The sequence below is a fragment of the Homo sapiens genome, chromosome 10, assembly GCF_000001405.40.
Source record: "Homo sapiens chromosome 10, GRCh38.p14 Primary Assembly".
In the NCBI taxonomy this organism is placed as follows: domain Eukaryota; kingdom Metazoa; phylum Chordata; class Mammalia; order Primates; family Hominidae; genus Homo; species Homo sapiens.
In genome coordinates this window covers 129366077-129389595 of record NC_000010.11, presented here as the reverse complement: position 1 = coordinate 129389595, position 23519 = coordinate 129366077, and the positions used below count along the sequence as shown (strand labels likewise).

Below are 23519 nucleotides of genomic sequence, written 5' to 3'. Positions count from 1 at the left end.
TTGGAGAGAAGACATATGATCATCAACTTTGCAACCTCCTCCAAGGCTAACAACATCTTTAAGATATTCTGATTGAGCTAACCTCTTTGGGATATGCTGTGGGAGGTGGCCTGAATTTGTTACTGGTAAATCATCTGTGATTTGGTCTGCAGGCTGCCCAATCTTGTCGGGAGAGCGTGGGGGGCAGATGGCATTTCCGTGGCAAGTCTGACATAGCAGGAGTGGGGCCAGCGTCACCCGAATAGCAGAAGGGAGCAGGCTAATGTTTGCACTTGCTGCATGGAAGGAGAGCTTGACCTTTACCCAGAGCAGTGGCAACCTCCATGTAGTCATAACCACGATCTTTGCTGATCATATAAAGGGATTTAAAGTGTTGGGAAACACCATGTATGGAGTAATAAAACTGACCGAGTATGAAACAAACATCATGTAGGTATCGATGCTATTCTCCCAAATGTTTGCAATCTCACAGAGCTTTTGCTTCTAGGAGGGGCTCCCAGGTGAGAGGCAGGCTCCTCTGGCCTGTGTGCACGAACAGAAATGGATGGAACTGCATGCCGTGTGCTACCCGTCCGTGCCAGGTGAGGGGGGAGGATGAGCAGGGGGCACAGCCAGCACCCAAATGTGCTAGGACAAGATCAGAAGATTGAGAGACATGAACATAATCCAATCAGCACAGACCTCTCTTTTTTCTACGAAATTCCCTGGACCACCATGAATATCTTGAAGGACTCCGTTTGTAGTCATTAGCAAAACACTGTTATGTTTTAGGCACTTTTTGAGGCTGAATGTGATTAAATGCAGTGCTATTTGGTGCTAAGGCCATGGATCTGCAATCGGATGCTGGTGTTAGGAAGCAGGTGATGAACTGGACCAAGGAAGACCATGGGGTGGGTGGGAGGCATCTGCTTGGGCACAGGTGTGCCCTGTGACTGCAGCACCAAGTAACTAGGAGTGGGCTGGGGACTTGGCACAGTGACAGGACAGAGTATTTGAAAAGGAGGAGAAAGACCCACACACATAGCATGATGATGATGATTATGATGACTGAACACGTTTACACCAGCATTCAATTCACGTGCTCAGGACTGGGTGTTGTATGCACAGAAAGAAGATCTGAACACTTCGTAAAGGCCGTGATGACAGCAACGTAAAAACACGCGCATATCTCCACATGGAAAACTATATGGAAGGAATTGCTACACCTGGTGGACAGCACCTATCCAAGGATTAGTGGATCCTCTCTGATTTCTGTTTTCTTTTTCATTCTTTTTTCTGAATTTTCCAAATTTCCTTCAATGTGCCTTCAATTTTAACTTTGCTTCAATTTTATGGAATTTATTCATTTTCAAAAATTGAGATAAATATAAGGGATAAACAAAATACCTCAAAATTTCAGCACCCAGATTGATAGCCTCTGTTGGCATGAAGGAAAATACATTTCAAATACAATATACATATTAGAAAAGGGCTGGTAGCAGATGAGAGTTACTGTCCTGGAACCTGATCACTTGTTACTCTCAGTACACTGAAGTGCTATTTTGGCACTGAAGAGAATGCAATTGTCAAAGACAGTTAGAAAATGTAAACAAAATGTAGTGTGAAAGCTTTACTCCTTCCATTGTTCTCCTAAAAGTAATTGACACTACTTTTAAACATACTTGTAAAGAGGTGGTTATGCATATACCTGCATGTGTCTCTGTGTGTGTGCTTATAATTTACACATGAGGGATCATATTACATAAACCTGTTGCACCTTGCTTTTTTCGAGGAATATATCTTGGATCTCTTTCCATGTCATCATGGATATATCTACCTCCTTCTTTTAAAAGCCTGCGTGTATTATTATCCTTTTAATCAGTCCTTAGTTTTGGAAAACAATTCCCCACCGCATGTTAATTTTATCACAGGGAAGAAAACCAGAACCAAACAGTATGAATTGTTTTGAAGAGCCCATGCGTGTCATGAACTAGATTATTTCAGTGTGTGGGAAACAGACAGACCATGATTGTTCTCACTTGACCTTGGTGAGTCCCATGCCCCTCTGTCCTCTGTGGGCCCAATCTGTGTACCAGGCCCTCAGGACTCCAGGGCAAAGCACAGCCTTGCACTGCAGCCCAGAGGCAGGCAGGCTTCACCACGTTCTTCGGGATGGCCTGGGACACGTCGCTGAACTTCCCAGGGCTCTGGGTCTCAGCTGGATAAGGCAGAGCTCTGGTGTGATTGATGTGTGCCCCAGTGGCCCAGGGAGCTCTCAAGGTCCTTCCAGCACTGAGATTTCTGATCCTGTATCACTGAGGTGCCACAGGGCCAGAGTCTCTGACAGTCCTAACCCGTCCAATGCCAAAATAGCACTCTGTTGTATTGGACATGGAGAAGTCACCAGTGGTCAAGCCCTATGATGCTAACTCTGGTCTGCTGCCAACTAGTGGGTGATGAAACCGCTCAGGGTCCCCGATGTTTCCTGGGAATGTTTGGCCTGACATGGGAGCTCCTCAGTCCTCTCCTGTTCAAGTGATTGTTTTTCATTTAAAAAACAGTCAAATGTACTAATTGTGAAACATTCAACAGTGAAGTAAAAGCGAATGCCCAGCACTCCTGTGCCAACTTCCCTAGAGGAAACCACCCTGAACTTGTATTTCCTTTCAGACATTTTCTAGCCTAACCAGCAGGCACACATCTATTCAGCTGTGCACATGTGTGTGCTGCCTTCTGCACCAATGAGACCCCATTTTCAGCTAGCTTCTTGTTTTCTTTGCCCTCTGCAGCACACACAGATGCCTCCATTCTTGTCCACAGCTGTGCAGTAGTCCATTGAATGGGCAGGCATTTCGATGGTATAGATAGGATCTCCCACTATCACAAACAATACTACAACTAATATCCACAGATGAACATGTACTTGTATCTGTGAGTGGTTCCATTGGTTACGGTGGGATTGCACCATCAGTGGGAGATCATGCCCAGCATTTTATCGGATGTTGTGAAATGTTCTCCAACCTGGTTTCCCACTGGAGTCCAGCCAGGGTGATGGGGATTTCCTGATCCCATAAACCTTCACCAACATGGGGTTTTATCAACCTTTTCAACCTTTGCCAACATGATATGGTGCAAACAAGAGTCTTGGTTGACCTGATGACTCTCCAGCAGCTTCTCTCTCCTTCCCTTCTCTCCCACTCCCCTTCTCTCCCCTCCCCTTCTCTTTCCTTCCTCCCTCCCTCCCTCTCCCTTCCTTCCCTCCCTCCTTCCTTCCTTCCCTCTTTCCTTCCTTCCTTGCCTCCCTCCCTCTCTGCCTTCCTTTTCTTTCTTTTTTCTTTTCTTTCCTTTCCTTTCTTCTTTCTCCTTTCTTTCTTTCTTTTCTTTCTTTCTTTTCTTTCTTTCTTTCTTTCTTTCTTTCTTTCTTTCTTTCTTTCTTTCTTTCTCTCTCTCTCCCTTTCTTTCTTTCTTTTTCTTTCTTTCTTTCTTCTTTCTTTCTTTCTTTCTTTCTTTCTTTCTTTCTTTCTTTCTTTCTTTCTTTCTTTCTTTCTTCTTTCTTTCTTTCCCCTTCCCTTCCCTTCCCTCCCTCCCTCCTTCCTTCCTTCCTTCTCTCTCTCTCTTTCTTTCCTTTTTACTTTCTTTCTTCTTCTTATTTTTTGAGACAGGTCTTGCTCTGTCTCCCTGCAGCCTCACCCTCCCAGACTCAGGTGATCCTCCCACCTCAGCCTCCTGAGTAGCTGGGACCATGGGTGTGTGCCACCACACCCAGCTAATTTTTGTATTTTTAGTAGAGATGGGCTGGTCTCAAACTCCTGAGCTCAAGCGATCTGTCTGCCTTGGCCTCCCACCGTGCCGGGATTACATGGATGAGTCACTGTGCCTGGCCCGGCAGCTCATTTTCTGCATCTTTGTGCCCTGTGGCTTTTTCCTTTCTGGCCATCTTCTTCACTTTCTGATCTGGGGTCTCTTCAGTTCCCAAGATGTTAGCTCTCATGTCTGTGCTCTGGCCTCCAAGTCTCAAGTTGGGGAGTCCCAGTATCTCTTCTGGTTGCAATCATTGCTTTTGGTCATCTCTCCTTACCCCATCCACATTCCACATGTCCAAACAGGGACCTTTCATCTGCCTGTCTAATCTTGCCTTGCAGACTTTGGTACTCAATACAAATGTGTTGAATAATTACATGAATAAGTGCAAGGATATCAGGACAAGGAGGAGGCAAGGTTTAAATTTTTCTACTGTTTTCTGACCAATCATATATGAAATGGGGTTTGATATAATAGGAAAGACATTTTCTACTTCCCTTTCTCTTGCAGAATGAAATTGACTTTGCATGATGCATCATTATTTAACCAGTCCTCATTTTTAATTTTAAAAAACCCCCTCATGTTAATTTTACATTTAGAAAAAAAACCCCAAGAAAACAATATGTGTTGTTTAAAAAGACTGCACACACTGCACACGTGGTCCCTCCTGTGTGGAAGTGAGGGTGCACTGAAGCTGCTACCGCAGCGCTGTCTGGGGGCCTCGTTTCTCTTCTTCTGCAGGATTTCCCAAATTTGAGTCAAAACTGGTGGCATTTGGAAAAGGTATGATTAACTTTAGGATGTGCATATATATATATGTGTGTGTATATATATATATGTGTGTAAATATATATATATGTGCATATATATATATATAACTGGAATTGTGATACCATTTGATCCAGCAATTTATCTTAAAATTCAGACTCATGTGTAAAGTCAAAAGATGCTTAGTAAAACTCAGTGCCCAAGAGTAGAGGACTGGCTCATTAAATTATGATACAGCCACAGAATGGAATAGATGCAGTCATTAAAATAGCATTATATATGTGCGTGTGCATGAATGTATGTATAGACACGTCATTGTGTAAACATAGATGCATACATGTACACATACATTGATACAAGAAATGTTCACAATATAGTGTTAAACAAAAAAGCACGCTTCAAAACACGGTGTAGGGTATAACTCATTTATCTGAAAAATATATATATTTTAAATTGAGACAGAGTCTCACTCTGTCGCCCAGGCTGGAGTGCGGTGGCGCAATCTTGGCTCACTTCAACCTCTCCCTCCTGGGTTTAGGTGATTCTCCTGCCTCAGACTAGCAAGTAGCTGGGAGTACAGGGGCCCGCCACCACACCTGGCTAATTTTTTGTATTTTTACTAGAGATGGGGTTTCACCATGTTGGCCAGGCTGGTCTTGAACTCCTGACCTCAAGTGACGTATCTGCCTCGGCCTCCCAAAGTGCTGGGATTATAGTCATGAGTCACCACACCTGGCCTGAAATATATATTAATATGCATACATTTATGGACATAAAGTCTAGAGAGATATAGTCACCAAAATGTTAATTATGGTTGCCTTTTAGCACTTTTTTCTTATCTAGATTGTATAGTATTTCTACAAAGACAATGTATTAATTATATAAATAATAAAATAAATATTTAAATGAAAACGCCCAGAAGTTTCAGTATCAGCCAACTACTTGAATGTGTTGGCCCTGGGAGGAACCGCAAATGTAAAGCTACCGATAAGGTCGTCTTGCCCATTCCCCAAAGTTGAACAAAAGACAAACACGGCAAAACTCAATTATCCCCTGCCTCTCATGTCCCCCTTCAGCTAGTGCTTAATTTTACACCTGCCCTCTGCCACGAGCCTCTTGACAGAATACACTCACTGTCTGCATGTCCTGTGCTCCCTCTGCAGACAGCCTCCTTGCAGCTGGATCTGCCCTCACTGCCTCCTTACCCTGATGATCCTCTTGCTGGGTTCAGCAAAGACCTCCAGGTTGGCTTGTCCAAAGCCCTGTCCACAGTCCTCTTCCTAGTCAGTCCTATTGGCCTTGGTGCCTGCACTCTCTTCTGGTCTCTCCCTTGGTGGGTGTGGCTCCTAATATGAGTTGAATTGTGTCCCCCCAAAAATATGTCGAAGTCCTCACCCCCGTATCTATGAATGAGACCTTTTTTGGAAAGAGGGTCTTTGCAGATATAATCAAGTTAAGATGAAGTCATATAGGATAAGGGTGGTCCCTGATCCGGTTTGATCAGTGTCCTTATAAAGGAAGGTGACATGACACAGACAAGCACAGAGGAAAGACGGCCATGTGAAGACAGAGGCAGAGACTCGAGAGATGCTGCCACCAGTCAAGGAAAACCTGGGGCCAGCAGAAGCCAAAGAGACAGGGAATGGTCTTGCCCAAGAGACTTTGGATGCAGCGTAGCCCTCCCAACAACCTGACTTTGGGTTTTTGTCCTCCAGAACTCTGAGAGAATGAGAGTCTGTTGTCATACGTCACTTGGTTTATGCTAATTTGTTATGGCAGTCACAAGAAACCACTATAGCTCCTGAGACACAAGGGACCCGAGCAGTCCGCTGGGCCTGGGAGCATCTTCTCTTTGTGCTGAAGTATAGGGAACACAGAGGCATCGTTTTCATTGATATGTCTAGGAAATCCAACCTTATTATTTATATTAGATTGGTGCGAAAGTAATTGAGCTTTTTACCGTTACTTTCAATGGCAAAAACTGCAATGACTTTTGCACCAACCTAAAGTAAAACTTAAAAAACAAAGTGAAAACTGTTTGTTTGTAAAAAATCAAAGTAAAACTGTTGTTTCTTCATTTGGGCAAAGCCTGGCTTGTTTTTCTGGGATCTCACTGCCTCAGGAGGGCAGTGGCGAGGGCCATGTGATCAGGTCTTAGAATGGAAGCAGAAGGATGTGCAGGAGACAGAGCTGAGAGGCCACAGAGAGAATGGACCCCCACAGGAGGTCAGGCCACATGCTGCACCCTGCAGAACTGAGTCCATCAGGGGAGGCCCAGAAACAGGTTAGTGCCCACAGAGAACAATGAGGTACGTATTAATTTTGTCTGGATGCATGTCCTTCCCATTTTTGGGGGCTGTCCTTGGCCTCCTGCACGGCTGTGTCCCCAGAGCCCTTCCCTCAAGGATCATTAGGATGACCACAGCGGAACCAGCAGAAAGTGATTCTGGAGTACCCAATGGGCAACAGCAGGGGCTCCAAATCGGCTTCAAAACGTTGTTGACCGTTGCTTCAAGGTTGCATTGATGAATGCTGCCTTGCAAGAGGCCTTCATGAAAAAAAAAAAAAGAAACCCAACTTGTTCAAAATTGAAGTTGTACTTGTTCCTTAAAGAAAATTTGAACAATGCAGGGAAGCATAACAATCCGTAAAACCACCCCCGAGTGGGCACCAACGAACCGCTCTTCCCAGATACCGGTGCGCCTCTAGGTATTGCCTTGTCTGTGGGCTTCCGTGCCCGCTGAGCTGAAATAGCCTCTCCATCACCTCCTGTACCTCTTCTTCCTGGCACTTACCACCTAAAGATCATAAACATGATTTTTTCTTCTCTTAGCAGAATATAAGAGACAGAGAGAGAACTTGGTTTCATTTTGCTTTTATTATTTTTTCTTACAGTTAGAACCTAGAGGAATGCCTAGACCAGTGGTTCTCAAAGTGTGATCCGTGGACCCTTGGGGTCCCCAGGACCTTTTCAGGGGTCCACAAGGTCAAAACTATTTTCTTAACACAAGGTCAAAACTAGTTTTCCAACAACTAAGATGTTGTTTGCCTTCTTCCCTTTCATTCTCTCATGAGTATATGGTGGAATTTTCCAGCGTCTACATGAAGTGTGATATCATAACAAATTGAATGCCGAAGCAAACATGGGAATCCAGCTGTCTTCTATTAAGTGGGACTTAGAGAGATTTACAAAAATGTAAAACAATACCACTCTCTTTATACGTTCTTTGTGTTAACATTATATTTATTATTATTTTAAAGAGGAATTAATGAAATATTTTTAAAATGATCAGTTTTAGTCCTTAATATGTAAATATCAATAGCTATGTTCTATATACACAAAAACTCTTTGCAGTTTTCAATAATTTTTAGTTTGATAACTGCTGGCCTAAACCATAGACGGTACTAGAAAATACTTGTTAAATAAAAGAATGAGTGACTCAGTTGAGGTTACTATTTCAATGTCATTTTCAGTTTTCTTTACATGTATTTAAAGATTTTATAATTTTGTGTCTTGCTTTTTTTCTTTAAGCATGTAAGCTGAAAACCATTCCTATGCTATTGAACATCTAAAAATAGCATTTTGAATGGCTGCATCATAGCCCATCCAGTGTAGCAGTTCTCACACACAGGGGAGCATCAACATTGCCTGTGGAGCTTTAAAAAATGATGTAGATGCTCCTGGGTAGGGTGTGGTCATTTTTAGGTGCATTGTCACATGGCTTCCCTGAAGTCGCACGGATTCCTATTTCGCTTCCCCGCATATGAGTGGGCCACACTCATTTTCATTGTCAGCCGCATTTTTATTAAAAAAAAAAAATAGTGTACCACTTGTGTTTTGATGGTCATGATCTTAGACCATTTGCGCTACTATTATAAAATACCGGAGACTGGCTAATTTATAAAGAAGAGATGCTTTATTTTTTCACAGTTCTGGAGGCCTGGAAGTCCAAGGTCCAGGTGTTGGCAGAGTCGACATCTAGGGAGGGCTGCCCCCTGCTTCCAAGATGGCGTCTTGCCGCTTCCAAGATGGCGTCTTGCCGCCGTGTTTGTGTCCTCAGAGGGCCAGAGTAGAAGAAACCAGGTAGCTCTCTGGAGCCTCTTTCATAAGGGCATTAATCCCACTCCCGAGGGAGAAGCCTTCATGACTTAATAATGCTCCCAGAGGCCCCATCTCATAATACCATCTCAGTGAGGTTTAAGTTTTAACCTCTGAACTTTGGAGGGATCCCAGCATTCAAACCATAGCAGGCGCCTCTGGGATTACTGTGGACCGAGTTCTTCTCAGGTGTGCCTGAGGCGGCTGTGTCTCCTACTCTGCGAACCATCTGGTTGTGCTGTCTAAGGAGGCCCCTGAGAAGGCCCACCTTCACCGCTTGTGTTTTCATTTTCTCCTCTACACCAGGTGAGCTACATAATTGCCTCTGGAGCCTGAAACTCTTCTGAAGGTCTCCTGCATGTGGTCTTAATCTGGAATTATAGCAGGTGACTCCCACAGATGCCCTGACCTGCCTTGCTGTTGTTTATACCTTCAGGAAAGGCATCTTCAGCCGCATCTCTGCTGTGGATTCAGAAACCCCCTGACAGGTCGATGAGTAGCACAGTGCTCCATTGGTGACCACTTCAACCTTCCAAGGACCCCAGTCAGGCACTGAATGTGTCCTTGAAATACACTGAGTTTCTAGCGCGTATAGAACATGGCCACAGAGAGAGGGCCTGGAACAGAGAAGGAAACACAAATGGCCAAGAACCATGGGAGCACCCCTGAACCTCACTCTCAAGTAACAGGCACAGCAGGGCAGGCCAGGAATGGTGGCTCACGCCTATAATCCCAGCACTTTGGGAGGCTGAGGTGGACAGATTTCCTGAGCCCAGGAGTTCAAGACTAGCCTGGGCAACACGGGGAGACTCTGTCTCTACAATAAATAATAAAAAAAAAATTAGCTGGGTGTGGTGGCATGAGCTTTGGTCCCAGCAACTCAGGAGGCTGAGGCCGGAGGATTGCTGGAGGTTGAGGCTGCAGTGAGCTGTGACTGTGCCCACTGCTCTCCAACCTGGGCAATAGAGCAAGACCCTGTCTCAACCAGTCTCAAAAAAAAAAAAAAAAATAGAAAGGAAAAGAAAGAAACAGACACAACAAACTAAAGCAATGAGGCGCCATTTTCCCCTGCTGGATAAGCAGAGATTAAATAAATAACCCCTCATGCTCAAGAGGGTGCAGCTGCTGAGGGTGTGACAGGGACACCCTACTGGAAAGCAAACTGCTATTTCCCGTAGAGAAAAATTAACAGACTCCCAAAAGGGGCATCATAAGGTGAATTCTGGAGCATTAGTAAGATAGACGATTATGCTGGCATTCAAGTTAGTATTTTTTTGATAACTTATCACAACATGAGAATGTATATTTTTTAAAAAGTCTGACTTCAAACCTCTATATGTTATTTTTCAAATTATGTAAGAAAGATGGATATATAAAAAAAGTCTGGGAAAAAGACATAAAAATGTTAATGGTGGTAAGTTACACCTGGATGTGGAATAAACGTATGTGTGTGTGTGTATGTGTGTGTGTGTGTATATGTGAATTTTTTTCTCCATTAAGTTTCTGCAATAAACCAAAAATATTTACTTTCCTGAAATCAACGTGACTTGCAAACATGAAGTTTTTAAGGTCCCAGGTTTTTGGAGACTCCTATACGCAGCTGAAATAGATATTTAACTTGGGAACTGGACAAGTTGGAGTTTATTGCAGCAGAAGAGTAGAGAGGTGGGTGGGAGAAAGAGAGGATTCCAGGAAGAAAGAATAGCAAGAGTAGAGGCTCAGAGGGGAGACCACACAGGATCTGTGTGAGAGGTGACCTGGAAATCTATAGAACAGGTTTCAGCAAACTACAGGCCTTGGGCCAAATCCAACCAGCTCCTTGTTTTTTATAAATAAAGTTGTTTTGAACACCATCACACCATTTGTTTATAGATTGCCTATGGCTGCCTTGGGCCATGATGGCAGAGTTGAGCCATAGAGGCTGAAACAGTATGGGCCTGAAAAGCCGAAAATATTTCCAATCTGTCCCTTTACAGGAGAAGTCTGCTGAGCCATGGTCTGGAAGATGTCAACCACAGAGGACTCCTGGGCTGTTCTAGGGAGTTGGGCTGTTGTCCTGAGGGCAATGGAGAGCCACTGACCCATTTGACGGAAGAGAATGACCAGAGCAGATTTGCACCTGTGGAAGATCTCCCTGGCACAGTGGGGAGCACGGGCTAGAGGGGACAAGGCCAGGGGATAAACCAGGAGTTGGCATGAAGGTAATAAATTGAGAGATGGCACTGGGCTGGATCAGAGTAGCAGTGGCAGGGCTGGAGAAACGTGGAGAGACCAGAGAGAGACTTAGTACCTGGAAGTGACAGCAGTGGTGGTTGTGGACTGAATGCAGGGGGTGAGTTGAGGAAGGGCTCAGGGGCGACTGCCAGGTCCTGGCTCAGAGAAGCCCCGCAGGACACAGGAAGGAGGGAGTCTTGGGCGGGTGTTGTGGTGGAGAGATGGCTCTGGGTGGGAACATCCTGTCTGAGGCTCCTGGTCAAGGGGAGATGTCCAGAGGCAGCTAGGCCTGGGGCTTCGGGGAGAGAACTGATTTAGAATCCAGCAGCCTGCAGATGTGAACTTCAGCCTGGGGTGTGAGTGGAGAGAAGGGGAGGGGTCTGGGCCAGAGCACGCCTGTGGGAGGTGGTGTCTGCCAAGGGGGTGGGGAAAACAGTGGTGGGAGGTGGGAAGGAAACAGGGATCATGGACTTCAGAAATCAGGGAAGAATGACTTTGTCAAGGAGGATGCTCCAGGGTCGCAAATGCTCCAGAGACGTCAAAGTGAAGAAGGGTCCATGAGCGTATATACCCATGGGCGTAAAGGATTCGGCCACTAGGAGGTTGCTGATGCCTTGCCGAGATCGGTATCTGTGCAGCAGTGAAGTGGAAATCTGGCCCCCCAGCCCTCCTTTCTTTCCATGTGGTCTCTTTCCTCATCTCCTTGGACATCAAGGTGCGGGCTGAGGACAGTTAGCCAGGGCCATCATCATCAAGGGTCGTCACCCACGTAGGTCTTGGCTGGGGCACTAGCTGGGCCTCTGATAATTTCACTAGCCTTAGTAACAACTTCAGTAATGACATGGGTGCCGCTTCTTCTGTGGGAAACAAAAGAAAGAAATGACCTGCTAGGAATGGAGTGTTGATTCCTGAATCTGTAGATCAGTACCATTCCATAGAACTTTCTGCTCTGATGGGAATGCTCCTTATTTGCTCTGTCCAATATGGGAGCCCCTGGCCACAGGTAGCTAATGAGTGCTTGAAATGTGGTTAGTGCAATTTAGGAGCTAAATTTTACAACTGATTTAGTTTGAATTCATTAAAGTTAAAATTTAAATAGCCATATGGGACTAGTGGCTCTCTTGTATTGGATGATGCAGTTAGAGATGATAATTTTTTCAGAGTTGAGAACTGTTCCTTTAAAATAAGAATATATGATATTGACTTCAAGTAATTACTCTTTTAATACGCTTCTTTCAATGTACCGAGGATGTATTCACAAACCTGACACTCAGATATGTTGGTATATCAAAGCAATTATGTCGTTCTATTTATCTAAGAGTCCATTTAGACAAACTCCTTGAGTGTGAAGGGATTTGAAGGAGAAGGTACAGCATATAAGGAGAGTTTTGCCCTTGCTCCTTCCTTGAGTCCACTTTGAACACTATTATAATTTTATCTGAGCACAACTGACATCATCCCACTAAGTAATCCTGGTGCACAGTGGCCGGGTCCCCTGCCCTGCCCTGATGGACGAGCTTGGTGGAGGCTCTCAGAAAGGCCTCTCACAACAGCTTCTAACTGACCTGGTCCCGAGCTGTGGATGGGCAGATCCCCCTATCACTGGAATGAGGGCCCACAGGAGGAGTAGTTTTACATTTTCAGGTGTAGCTCTAATCTGGTGGCATCCTCACGGGCAGTGTCCCGGGCCCAGAGAGCAATTTGCAGCTCTCTCCTGTGGCCTGCGTTCCTAAAGCCTGGGAAGCGAGCTCCTTGGCAGCCTCACAGCTTGGGGAGCAGGATGAAATAATTACTCCTAAGGTGTCCTTATGCTTCCCACCCATGATTTCCCTGCAAAGTTAACAGTGAGTGCCTTCTCTCTCTGGGGTGGGGGTGGGGGGACAGAAGGAGGGAGATAGATGCCAGGCCTTGGAGAGGCTTGTTCACTCACCTGGGCAGGCCCCGGGCGTGCCTCTGCTGCAGCATGTACCTGCTCCGCATCCCAGGCCCCCAGGGCCACACGTACAAAGCTCAAAAAAATAAGAAGTCCTTCTTAACATCTGGCTCCCAAACTCATCCGTGGCCCCAGCTGACCTGAACTGACATGTGACTCTTTGGGGTCTTTATGCGTCCATCTTGTGCCAGTATTTCTAGGTCACTGTAGAAGTACACAGGTGTTTGTCAGCGCCAGGGCTAGGGTGAGGTGGGTGCGGCACCCAGGCTCTGAGCATTTCCTTGAATCTTGTGCCCTGGGCCCCTCCCTTACTTGTCCTGGTCCCGTGCTGTGTTCGAGGTTGCCCTGGATCCACCAGGTATTTATGCAATCTAATGGGGGATTTATTATGTCTTATGCATAATATCCTATAAATAGCATTTACATACTACAAGGCATTATCTTTCTAAAATCTGAAAAATTTGAATTCCAAAACACATCTGGCCCAAGTTTTCGGTGAGGACTTGACTTGGGTTAAAATCATCCACTTGGGTCCGGAGAGCCCCATGTCATCCTTGTCCATCCCCGCACACAGCAGAGTGCATGGCACACAAGAGGAGCGTGCTGGGGTCTGGTGCACACCAGCGGACTGAAAGGCAGCATCTTGCCAGTTCCTGGAAACATGGGTGGCTTGGGTCCTGGAGAAAGGCCTCGGCCTGAGACCACGGTGGTACTGGCAAGGGTTGGGGCTGGGCACTTTGACCAAGGGAGCGTTGGTGGCCCCTCTCCACTCTGGAATCGCCAGATTTGAAAGGTATTTGCAGCACAATTAATAGTGATCTAGGTCAGTGTCCCAAAGGTTCAGAAAGGTCCCCAGACAATGAGAAGTTTGCAGAAGGTTTGTTTAATCAACAGTGCTGATGTGAGATGACAGCATGGAGGCCAGCAACGGAGTTCAGCTCCAGCAGGGAGGGACTGGGGTGGATTTCAAAAACAATATAGGATAGTTTCTGTGAGTTTCAGACCAGTGAGAAGTTTCTTTAGCATAAGTATGTCCTAGATACTTTAACTAAAGTACTGGGGCATACATATAATAAACTTTTATTTGGGATTCAGACTTGACTGGTGTCCTGTGTTTATCTGGCCATGGGCTGGGAGAAGTTAGCCAAGAAGGTCAAGCTCTTGACCCTTTGGGGAACTGGAGAGGAAGAGAAGACACCAGACGCCAGCACCAAAGGACCAGCCCTGACAAGGGCCCAGTGGCCCAATGGCAGTGAGGGAGTGGCCTGGAGAGGGTGCCAAGGGCCTCAGTCCATTGGGAACCCCCAGCCCCTGCTCCAAGGGCACCAGGATGGGGGCACAGTGGGCTCCTCACTCCACTGCAAGAGGAAGGGGACTCAGGCCTGCTCCATGCTGGATCCACGGGCAACACCACCATGGCCAGTTCTGGGTATGGAAACAGGTAGCAGCTGCCACATGCCCAAGTCAGCCCCTGCTCTGCACAGGTGCAGGGACCAGTCCCATGCTCCACCGCAGCAGGGCATGCAGCTGTAAAAGCTGGTGAGGTGGGGCCGCAGGAGCCCAGCCTCTCTCCCTCTGCCGAGAGGGAGCCTGTTTACAGGCTCCTGTTAGCCCACACCAGAGCAAAGCCCGGACCTCTTAGAGGGCGGCTTGAATCTGCTAATGTGGTACTTTCTTTATTTTTGAGTTTTTATTAACACGTTCTCAGCAAATTCTGTACAGCTCACACTGTTAGACTAACAACCCAAGATTGACTCCACCTGAGCATATTCCTCTCCATTGCAGAGTATAATTGCAATGTGAAGTCAAAACTAAACTGTTGGCAGAGGGTGTCTGTCAACCTGCTTTAAGGCTGTATTCAGAGCCAATTTAAATGCCTTTGCAAGTTACATGGAAGTAGTCTGGGTTGATTTTTCCAGATGGTGGTAGCATTTTTCAGAAGCACCAATGTTAAATTGATATTGTATGACATGGTACAAAACCTTAGGATGTCTTCATTGGAGTTACGGAAACTACTCACCTTGGGGACTTGATCCAGCCCCAAAGCAGCACGGAGCGGGCGGGCCCACCGTGTTTGTATGGGTCTCTCAGGCTACATAGACAGGAGGCTGCTCTTTCTCTTGGCAAAAGAACTCACTCTTCTGTCTCGGTTGTGGGCATGAATCTAAGATAAATGAACAAAAGCCCCATTCCATATTATTAAACGATGTCCTCAGCCCGTCCCCAAGCCACCTCTGGGATGCCCTCTGCATTGCATCTCTTTATGACCTGCATGTGTGGTTGCTGTGAGCTCAGCCTGGCATTACCCTCTATGTGGGATATAAAGACACCTCTCTTTCTGGCCCTAGAAATGCGGCCTGCCATCCTTGTCCTTGACTACCCCACTCAGGATGGTAAATATGGCTCTCAGGAATACATTACTGTGCATCTTGAGCCTCCAACATGGTGAAAGGGACAGAGATTCCTCTTATGCGTGGTTTTAATGCTTCAAGGAATTTCCCCGCCGACGGGGGCCTGGCAGGAGCGTCCTCATCCGGGATGCTGTGACATTATGACTGAATGCCTAAACCAGTGTGAACAGAAAGCAGAGGGCATTAGGAGGAGCTGCTCACACACCAAAGTGTCCCAGTGCATTGGCTCCCTGGGAGAGAAACCGGCCAAGCTTTGAGAAGTGAGAAAGGCCTCCGAGACGACAGGCCCAGTGGTTGGTCCTGGAGGGAGGCCTGGACTCCCGGAAGTGGACCGACTGTGTTTTGGTGGCACAGACAGTGAACCAAGGTTCCTCGTCATCCACTAACTCGCCTTTGCCACCAACCCTCCAGCCCTGGCCTCTTGGGGGACTCCCCAGGGAAGGGACGTGCTGCTCGCATGTGGGATTTGAGGATGTCGTTCTTGGGGCCACGGTCTGTTCTTACTGACTGCTGAACTGACCCTGTCACCATGCAGACCCGTAAGGGGGCGAGGATGGGCATGGAAATCCCACATTGTGTGTGGCTTGAACACCAGGGCCAAGCCCAGGTCCAGGCTAAGTCACTTTGACTTCTGCCTGTGCCATTTCCAAGTTATGACTCTGCCTCCCTTGGTGCTGAGAGCAGCCCTGTGAAGTAGCTGTTTGCATTTTAGATTTTATTTTTCAGGGCAATTTTCCATTTAGGAACACTGAGTGGAAAGTATAGAGTTCCTGCACAGGCTGTCCCTCCTCACACATACTGTGAACATCTTGCATCAGTGTGGTGCATCCATTACAGTGGATGAACCAATATTGGTGCCTTAATGGTAACTAACGTCCAGAGTTTCCATTAGGGCTTGCTCTTGGTGATGCACCTTCTACGGGTTTGCACCTATGTGTGACATCACGTATCCGTCATCACAGTCTCATACACAATAGTTTCATTGCCTACCAAATCCCGTGCTCCGCCTACCCATCCCTCCTTCTCCCGTACTCTGGCTGCTCATCTGTTTCCTGACCCCATAGTTTTACCCTCTCTAGGATGTCACATGGCTGGAATCGTGCAGTACCTCGTCTTCTTTCGCCGCCTGATTTATATATAAGTTTCCTCCGTGTCTTTTCATGGAGCAAAATCTCATTTGTTTTTTTATTGCTGACCACTATTTCACTGTATGAATGTACCACAATTTGTTTAATCTGAAGTCATATTTTGAGTTTTGTTTTACAGATGAAGAGACAGACTGAGCTTGGCTAAGTGTTTTGCTGTAAGTCACACAGTTTGGAAGATTTGGAATTCTGGACAACTGGACTTGAAACCACCATGATGCCTCACTGCATCCCCGACTTGGGAAATCCGAGTCATCATTTGTAATGATCTTCTGCATCATTCAGATGTCATTCAGTACTCACTAATGTGCTTTCTACACGGCTTTTCCGAAATAGCTGGCATCTGCAGCACTCTGGGCCGGAGACTTCCCGGGGGTGAAGATGGTGTAGGCGCATCCAGTGTGGACAGGAGGTGCCAGTTTAAAGGATGACTGTTCATGGCCACCTCACAATCTGTGCACCCCCCTGGTGCCCAAGTAGCAGGGACAGGGCTGTGAACTTCCTGCAGGGACCAAACCCCACTATTGGCAGCTGCTGGTCTTTGTGATTGCTCCTATGTCAGGCTTGGGGGACAGAAGACATTTTTCTTTTGCTGAAACCTGAAGGGGAACAAATCGTGTAAAACTTGGCATCTAAATCTTCCCTTTCCCTCTAAGGAAAACCTCTGCAATCATTCTGCAAAGTATTCTCTCTCCTTTTGTCCTGTTTAAGATTCGGGTGTTGACAACTTCCCTTTGGGAGACCATATTAGGGTCTCAGATTTCACCATCAAGGAAACCTCTAAGTATTTTTGCAGAAAGCTCCTGATTAGATTGATCTCGGCACCGCAGCCTTCCCCCAATCCTGGGCTAAGCCACAGAGAGACTCTGCTTGCTGGGCAGCTGTTTGTGGGTATCTTGCGGCGGTGTTTCTGCTTTCTTGCTCAACCACCCAGATTTAGCTATTAAAGTTCCCCTCATAAATCAGCCACGCCGCGTATCTTCATCATCTCCTTCCAGTTTGTCTATAAGCTCTCTGCCCTCCAAGAAATAAATTACCCGCAATTACTCAAAGTTAGTAATTGAATTTATTTTGGTGGTAGAGAGAAAATTTATCCATTTTGCTAGTAATTTGTAGTCATTTTTAGTAATTGATAGTAATTTTCGAGTAAATACTAATTAACTGTTTCACTAAGTAAAAGAAGTATAGAGTAATGTATTCACTAGGCATTAGTAGTCCCAATTTATCTTTATACCAGCAAGCGGTTTCGGTGGAGCTGATAAGATCCAGTGGCATTACTCTCGCGGTGTTAAGCTCTGAAAAAGTGATCAAGACTGTGTGGCTTGTCCAGAATCAGCTGCACAATCACCGCCAGGAAGGGGCTCCCCAGGCTTCAGACTTTGGCTCCATACAGCGTCTGAGAGGAGGGGGCTGGATGCAGAGGAATGGGCCCCAAAGGAGGGGTTCCTGTCACCCTGCAGGAAGCCGATGTGGCATTCTCCCTGCCGCATGTCACCCTCCTTGCCCATGTCGCAAGGTCCTGACCACCATGTGGATTCCTCCACGTGTAGGTGGACAGGATCTTTGACTGACGTTTGGACCATTCTGAAGATGTGCTTATTTTTCAAACAGGTCTGCAAGTGAAATTTGCTACATTGACCAAAGTAGAAGTTTTTATTTCATGAAATGATCCCATTAATTCCTACTATCTGGCAGGTACTTAGTTTTTAGCCAGTAAGTTATGTTTTCCTTTAAAATCATTCTCTGAGTGCTCATCAGTGAAGCGAAGGTTGCCCGTGTGGGGTGTTGTGGCACTTGCTGCGTGGCCCTGTTATCCCGCCTTTGCTCCTCTGTTTTTCCGGCAGAGGGCTCAAAGCATGTTTGTTGGGTGAGAGAGAGAAGTAGTGATTTTCCCCAGGACATGCTCCTAGTTAGAAAATAATATCCCTCTAGAATTAATTAATTAATGGGAGTTGATACAATTAACAAATACTGAGTGACAAATTCTACAGAGGTGCCATTCTCTAATTAGTGCTGTGGTTTAGGGCACTGCAGAGCCTCTTAGCTTCCATACCCTGACCGGTAAAACGAGGGGCTAACCTGAAACTTCCCACTACAATCTATCTTCCCAGGGTTTTTTTTTTTAAAGTAGAAAAACAATTAAAATGTGTTTTTATATTTATTTAAAATGTAATACACTGTCATGAGGAGTATTTTGGAAACTAAGCAAACAAGCAAAAAGGCACTGACATCATTCATTGTTCCCAGATGTAATTAATATATTAGCACATTTTCTTTCAGACTTATTCTTTCCTGTAGGTTTGTTTTTTCATTGTAATCAATCAGAATATAAACTTCGATTTGTTTAATTCTCCCTTTGATGAGAATGTTCAAAAAACATTATAATATAGTCTGTATAAGTATAGTTTGTAATGATTCCATAATATTCTAGTAAATGCAACAACTGTAATTTGCTTAGCCATTCTTTTATTTATTTATTTATTTTGACATTTAGGCTGTTTTAAAGTTTTTGTTATTATAAATAACACTTCTCTGAACATCTTTATAAAGTTTGATATATTTAGATCGTTTTCTTTGGTTAGATTCCCAGAACAAAATTATGAGGTCAAACGACATGAATATTTTAAGGCTTACATTACTCCCAGCCAAATTTTCTTCCAGAAGTGCTGCGCTGGTTTCTCCTGCCCCCAGCACTATGTGAGAATTTCCGATTTCACCACTCCATCTCAGTTTTGGATATTACCATTAAAAATTTCTGCTGGTTGGATGGGTCAAAAATGGTGCCATGTTTCATATTCATTTTATTATTAACCGTGAGGTTAAATGGTTTTTGTCGCATTATGCTTTGCATTCTATCCCCTTGGAATTGCTTGTTTCTGTCCCTTTCCCATTAATCTATTGGGATGTTTATGTTTTTCTTCCCCATTTGTATGAGCTATTTATATAATAAAGTTATTATCCCTTAATTGTATTTCTGCACACTTTTTTTCTAATGGCATTGATTTCTAAGTTGGCTTTCAAGCTCACAGTAATTCTTAAATGATTTGAGGACAATGCAGCCTTTCTAGTGCTTTCCCTTCTGTTGACCGCCGTGTTTAGAAGGATATGAGCCAACAAAACAGAAACCTGTGCAATAAAGATGTTGGGTGTTTTAAATATCTGCCATGTGAACCTGGCTTTTAAAAACCTTTCTTTCCTAGCCAAGGAATCCTTGTATGAATTAAATATGAAACTTCCTTTCCTTACAAAGTAAACATGTAATGATATACTTCTTGTCCCCATTACAAATCTGAGGGGAGCCTGCTCTCTGATCTCACATGAAACAGGTGACTCTTCAATTAAACATAAATTTTCAATTAAAGCACATCCCTCTGGGTGGCGGATCGCAGTTCCCACCCTGGCTGGGCAGAGCCTGCCTGGGCAGCCTCTCAGCGTCCAGCTGCTGCTGGAGAGGCCAGGCTCCCTGGCGGCTCCCAGGAGTGTGGGCTCAGCCGGCTGCCTGAGGAGCCCGGGCCTGGGCAGAGGGGCCCAGAGCCCTGCTGTGATGCCCACCGTGCAGGGCAGAGCCGGAACCTTTGAAAACCAAGGGAGAGCTCTCTCCTTCTGACCCTGCAGCCCTGAAGTTTCATCGGCTCAGCATGAGGCTCCGAGGTTACTTGAAAATAGCATCTTCCAGGAAAAGATCCAAGGGCTGCAGGATACTTGGGGGCACTTGTCATACTACTCAGGCCCAGCCAGGCCCCTTCTCATTCGTTTCAGCAACAGTGATCTGAAAAGATCCATGTTTATCTGTATAAGAATTTTTAAAAATTCTTGTAAACTTAAGAATGTTCAACAATCAAGTAAAGTCAAATTCCTTGCCTCTCCCATGTCTATCCCAGTGTCCTTCCCCAGGGGAACCACTGATATCAGCTCTCTGTGTGCCCTTCTTCCAGATATATGCACACCTGGAAATATAGTGTGCATGTGCATGTGGGGGTGTATGCATGTGTGGGTGTATGTATGCATATGTTTATATGTGTGCACATGTATACTTATACACACATGCATGTATGCATGCCTGTGTATGCATGTATGCATGCCTGTGTATGCATGCACCTGCATGTGTGCATGTAGACATTCATGTGTGCATGTGTGATGGGGGTACATTATGCATAGTTTGTAGCTTGCTTTTTTCATGTAACCCGCATGGAGACCTTTTTACTTCAGCCCATTTGGCCCGATCTTGTCTTGTTGTGACTCCTGTAGGAATTAGAAGTTCAGGTCAGGTAGTGAACTAACATGCTTCAGCAAACACAGAGCTTGTGGAATCCTGGACTTACTTGGGCACTAGACCTCCCTCACCCCTGGATCAAAGATGTTTCTTCCCTTTTGCATTTTAATTTCTTACCTGTATAGTGGCCCTAAGCTCCTTCCAGTTTTATTATTCTAGGCTAAAAGGTTAAAAACAGTTGTTTGATGGAAGAGTCAAAAGATATGGGGAGATTTTATGTCAAGAAGAATTGAAAACATTTTTGTGTTGATTATTTAAAACGTAAGAATTACAGCAATCAAAATGTGCCATTTCCTTCACATTGGTAATACAGTATTGTTGCAGGGATCTAAAAGCGACTTTACAATGTTACAATCTAGAAATCAGTGATACTTCATGCCACACAGGATGAGAAGCAGTTGGATCCAGAGGTGGGAGTCAGACTAAGACTCAGAGGACCACGGTTCAAGCCTAGGCCCCCTCCCTGCCTCAGTTTCCTCATCCTCGAGATGGATTGTGAAAACGGATGAAGTAATAGATGTGAGAGTGCATGTGTATGCCATGAAGAGACACACAAGTGTTGACGATTGTTGTTAACAAGGCAGCAAGCTTGAAGTTTTGCATTGTGAAGTAACTGAAATTGATCAGCGACCCTGAATTTCCTCCAAAGGGGCCGCTGGAAAAGCTTCAAGGAGCTTCCAGCTTTAGCAACCTGCTACTCAATGCTGTGCAGAATGTTCTGTGAGGACACACCCTCGGGCCCTTGGAGACCATGTTCTGAGGGAGATGCCTTCATAAGGAGTGGGGACCAGTGGCCAGAATGAGCAGCACCATGGATCCTTTTTGCTGATGGAGAGTGCTCTCAGTGAACACGGTGGAAATTCTACAGGGCACATGGAGGGTATTGGTGAGAGCTGCCTCCCAGGCTTGGCCAGGTATCCCAGATGTTCTGTGGCCAACTGTGCAGCTGGAGGCAAGTGGGCTTCACCCTACAGCCCTGGCTGGGTCAGGCCACCCTAGAGTCCTTTGCCTTCAGTGCACAGCAGATTCTGGGGTGGGGACAGAAGAGCTGGAGCCTTCCCCTCAGGTATCTGCAGTGATGGCAGCCCCAAAGCACAGTCCCTCTATACACCATCTCACATGGGCCCTGGCTGTGGCATGGGGTCCTCTCCCAGGCCACCACCCTGCAGGGTGGTCCCGGCAGGCCCTGTGGAGGTTGGTGGCTGCTGTTTCCATTCGGGATGCTCTCCAGTTTCAGTACTAATTTCTGGTTCTCAGTGTTCTTCTGGTCATGTAGAAGGAAAAATAAAAAAGCGGGGGTTAATAATCATTTTTTTCTCCAAAGTATTCTGTTATATATAAGGAGGTCAAATGGGAAGACAGGGCAATCATTAGAACATAATTTCAAAAGGAACTGTGTGGAAAATGCATACAAATAAGTTATTTTAAAAGATTAATCCATTCCCAATAGGAGCTTGAACACAATGTACATTTGAAGTTAAACAAATAAATGTGCGACCTGGCTCTCCCACAAAAGTAATGCGTTTCGTTTTTTTAAAAATATGACTTATCGCACGGGGCAGTCCAAGTTGAGTATGAATAAAAGTATGGCACTTAATATTCAACAATGCCCATCTACTACAGGCTGACGCACTTTTAAAAAGATCTACTTCTTATAAAGATCTCCTCTTTAATTAAGAAAAACTAATATCAAAGCAGTTTTTGCATTTAAAATTCGTGTTTAAACTTCTCCTAGATTAAGTGAGCTTAAACAGTTGCGATTCCTGACTTTAACAGCATTATAAAATACATTAGAGATTGAGAGGATAAAATTCTGCCATGTTAGGTTATAACCTAACTGCTATTTGCAGTTGTAAGGAGTACTAATGGCGCAGGGACAAGATTTATTGTCGCAAAGACATTCTGCTTAACATTAGCCTTGTCATTCCATTAATAATGACTGCTTATGAGCCATCTCTTGGCATCTTTGTTGTCCTGAAAACTTAAAACTCACAGCACAATTCTTTACGACGTGTTCCATTGCCCCCTCTGGGTATTCCCGACCATTATCCCATTTGGTTATATTCAAAACTGCTGCCTCCGGAGAGAGCATTAGGCCGACCTTTCACCTTCCAATATTCTTGGTTCAAATGGCGTAATAACATGTAGTGAATATTTACAAGCACACTTATACTATAATAGAGTACTGCTGTGAACATTAGCACATATTTTCTGCTCAATCAGGCTTTGATGTAGAGCTTGCCAAGCACCCCAGAGAAAATGCAGTCCCCAGTAAGCTGTGCTAGTGAAACACCCTTGAACCTAAACAGCTTTCATAACACACACTGACTAGATGCAGGTTAGCAAGACGACAGAGTTTCTGGGATGCCTGATGTCATCAGGGTCTTCCTAGCAGAGTACTCCAGGCTGGAGGCAGGAGTCCCCCATACCTGGAATTCTGAATGGATCAGTGCGTGGCTTATACAGAAAAGGAAAATTAAAGGCCATGTGATGTGTTGGCACCAGGTGGCCTGGTCACTTTCCCCAGGGCTTTAAAATTTCTTAATTAATTTTTTTAATTAAAAAAATGAGATTCCCCCCACTGAAAGGATAAATTGTGAAATACCTCCTTGGTCCTGCTCCTCCTTCCCACATTAACTCCGTCCCTCTTTCCTAGCTCCACCCCTTCTCCTCCAACCACGTCTGAGAAGCCCTCCCTCAGTTATAACGGTTGGCTCTCTTTACTACCTCTGCCTCCTCGGTTGGCCACGCCCATTGCCTTAGTCCCACCCCTTTCCCTGGATGGCTCACCACTCTTAAATTAGCCCTGGGAAATTCTAGCTCCTCCCCCTGCACTGGCCCCACCCTCCCTAGCATGCCCCACCCATTCAGCACAAGCCCCGCCCCTCCTTGTCTT

The 23519-nt window shown here is 45.4% G+C and overlaps 2 long non-coding RNA genes across 2 annotated transcripts; one reads left to right on the top strand and one right to left on the bottom strand.

Annotated features, from left to right (window-relative positions):
• The first annotated feature begins 8473 nt into the window (after window positions 1-8473).
• On the top strand, window positions 8474-17402 carry LOC105378557 (uncharacterized). Its single transcript, XR_946465.2, has 3 exons — window positions 8474-8953; window positions 10624-10848; window positions 16472-17402. It is a non-coding gene; the product is annotated as an uncharacterized LOC105378557 (long non-coding RNA).
• Window positions 17403-20906: 3504 nt separating this feature from the next.
• On the bottom strand, window positions 20907-23313 carry LOC105378556 (uncharacterized). The gene is made up of 2 exons (XR_946464.1): window positions 23229-23313; window positions 20907-21887 (listed from the first exon to the last, which is right to left on the bottom strand). It is a non-coding gene; the product is annotated as an uncharacterized LOC105378556 (long non-coding RNA).
• Window positions 23314-23519: the final 206 nt, after the last annotated feature.